This window comes from Homo sapiens, chromosome 4, assembly GCF_000001405.40.
Source record: "Homo sapiens chromosome 4, GRCh38.p14 Primary Assembly".
NCBI classification, from domain to species: domain Eukaryota; kingdom Metazoa; phylum Chordata; class Mammalia; order Primates; family Hominidae; genus Homo; species Homo sapiens.
In genome coordinates, this window is record NC_000004.12 from 18,056,843 (window position 1) to 18,059,194 (window position 2,352).

Genomic DNA, 2,352 nt, shown 5'->3' on the forward strand with positions numbered 1-2,352 from the left:
TTGCGTACTGTAGTTTCCCACATTTTGGGCTTCTGAGTCTTAAAAAGGCTATGAATTAATTGCAATAGAATAGTAAATCCTATCAGTTTATATGAGAAATCAAGAGACTAAAGAAATTCATTCTCACCCATGTATTCACTATTATTCCTCCATTCGGTTAAGATGCTATTATGACATGTATAGTGCAATCTCATTTAAGAGTGTAATTAATTCACAGGTTTTTTTTGTCATTAAGCATTTTCTTTAACTATTATATGGAGTATCTTTTACTGTTATTATTTTTTAACATGGAGAAAGAATCCTTGCTGCCTCCTCCTCTGGAAGGAAAATCATCAACTGTTTTAAATAAAATGCAAGTCAATCAATTGAAAATAATATTGCAGAGAAAGTTTGTTTTTTGTTTTTTTTTAAAAACAAAACTTCCAGCTAGGTGCAGTGGCTCATGTCTGTAATCCCAGCACTTTGGGAGGCTGAGACGGGTGGATCATTTGAGGCCAGGAGTTCGAGACCATGCCTGGGCAACATGGCAAAACCCTGTCTCTACTAAAAATACAAAAAAAATTAGCTAGGCATGGTGGCCCACGCCTGTAAACCCAGCGACTCTGGAGGTTGAGGCATGAGAATTGCTTGAACCCGGGAGGCGGAGGTTACAGTGAGCTGAGATCATGCCGCTGCACTCCAGCCTGGGTGACAGAGCGAGATCTTGTCTCAAAAACAAAACAAACCAAAACCAAAACCAAAACTTCCTGCTGGTTACTATTTTGGAAGCCTGTGGTTTCTTTGTAGTTCAAAGTATTACTTGTAGTTTGCACCCCAAAGCTTGGGATTCTCAAATTGACACAGAAGACCAGATTTTCCTTTTGACGAAGCTGTTTTTGAGACAGGATACAAAAGTTCCTTTATTTTTGCAACTGCTCTGAAAATCTTACAAAATATTATAATATTTAAGGTTAGGTGATCCAGAAAACAAACAAAAACATCTTATATTTTTCATGAACTAAAAACTAGTTCTGCTACTGTTGTACAAAATGATAAAATCTTTCCAGTTAACTCCTCAATAAAAAGAAACAGCTTTTGAATTAAGGTTTTAAAAAAATCTATATTATCTTGGGCCAGAAGAAAACAATGGCAGACCAGGGAGATGATAACTGCGCAAGAGATGTGTGAAACAGCAAAGAGAATCATGTCAGCCCCCTCGGGCTCTTCTTTCCATCCCCCTCCACACAAATACCTCATCACTAGGACACTTTTGACTGAAAGAAAATGCTATTAAAATTGTATATTTTTTAATTTTTAATTTATATCTGGTATATATTGGTCAGTCTGCCCCTAAAAAACAGGAGTAGGGTTCAGTAAGGTACATTTTAGAACAGTTAAAGAATTTTTAAAATTCCTCTTCCACTCTCACAGTTGAGCTTTGACTACCTGTATTAGCAAAATGGTATGCAAATTTAGTTGCTTTCTTGTTCAAAGACAGCAAGAATAAGAAATGCCTTTCAGTATGTGTTAGAGTGATACTTCCATTAACCCTTGTGTTTTAGCTCTTTCAAATGTCTCAGCATTATAGATAAGTGGTTGACAGAAGGAAGTCTTGCCAAATATGCAAATGAGAGAAACAATTACAATAAAAGGTTATTTTATATAAAAATGAATGTATTCTATTTCTTAAGGGAAATAAAAAGGAAGTTCAATTTAAAAAGATATTTTTATAAGAATTAATATGAATATATATTTTCAAAGTATTTAACATCTTTCCCCAGTTGCTTTTCATGAATCTCACCATTGCTTGGTACTGTACTTTTTGTTCCATTTAATTAATTTTTTTCTGTGTTGCTATTTCTCACTGGTTAATAATTGGCAAATTTATAAAAAAATTAAAATGACCTTAAAAAGATAAAAATTTATAAAAGAAGAACATTTATTTTAAAAGATGCAAAGCTGACTATTCTGTAGATTAAAAAACAGAGATTTTTCTCCCTCATGAAATGAAGGATATACTGAGCGTATTAGTCAGCATTCTCCAAGCAGACAAAACCAATAGGATATATCTATTAATGTATTTGTCTGTCTCTATCTCTCATCTCTCTTTATGTCTATCTATAGATAAATATGTTAGGGAAAATTTATTAGGGGAATTGGCTCATGTGATTATGGAGGCTGAGAAGTTCCAAGACAGCCCTCTGCAAGTTGGATGCTGGAAGCATGGCTCAGTCCAAGTTTGAAGGTCTAAGAACCTGTGGGGGCCACTGATATAAGTCCTAAAGTCCAAAGGCTGAAGAGCCTGGGTTTCTGATGTACGAGGGCTGGAGAAGAAGAGTGTATCCTGGCTCAAGAAGAGAGAGGGATCAATTT

At 35.1% G+C, this 2,352-nt stretch overlaps 1 annotated feature.

The window, feature by feature from the left end:
- Positions 653 to 812: an enhancer, noted in NCBI's record as "active region_21358". NCBI's record gives its function as "activates an Ori minimal core promoter by ATAC-STARR-seq in GM12878 lymphoblastoid cells {active_cell/tissue: GM12878}" and the evidence as "EXISTENCE:reporter gene assay evidence [ECO:0000049][PMID:35858748]".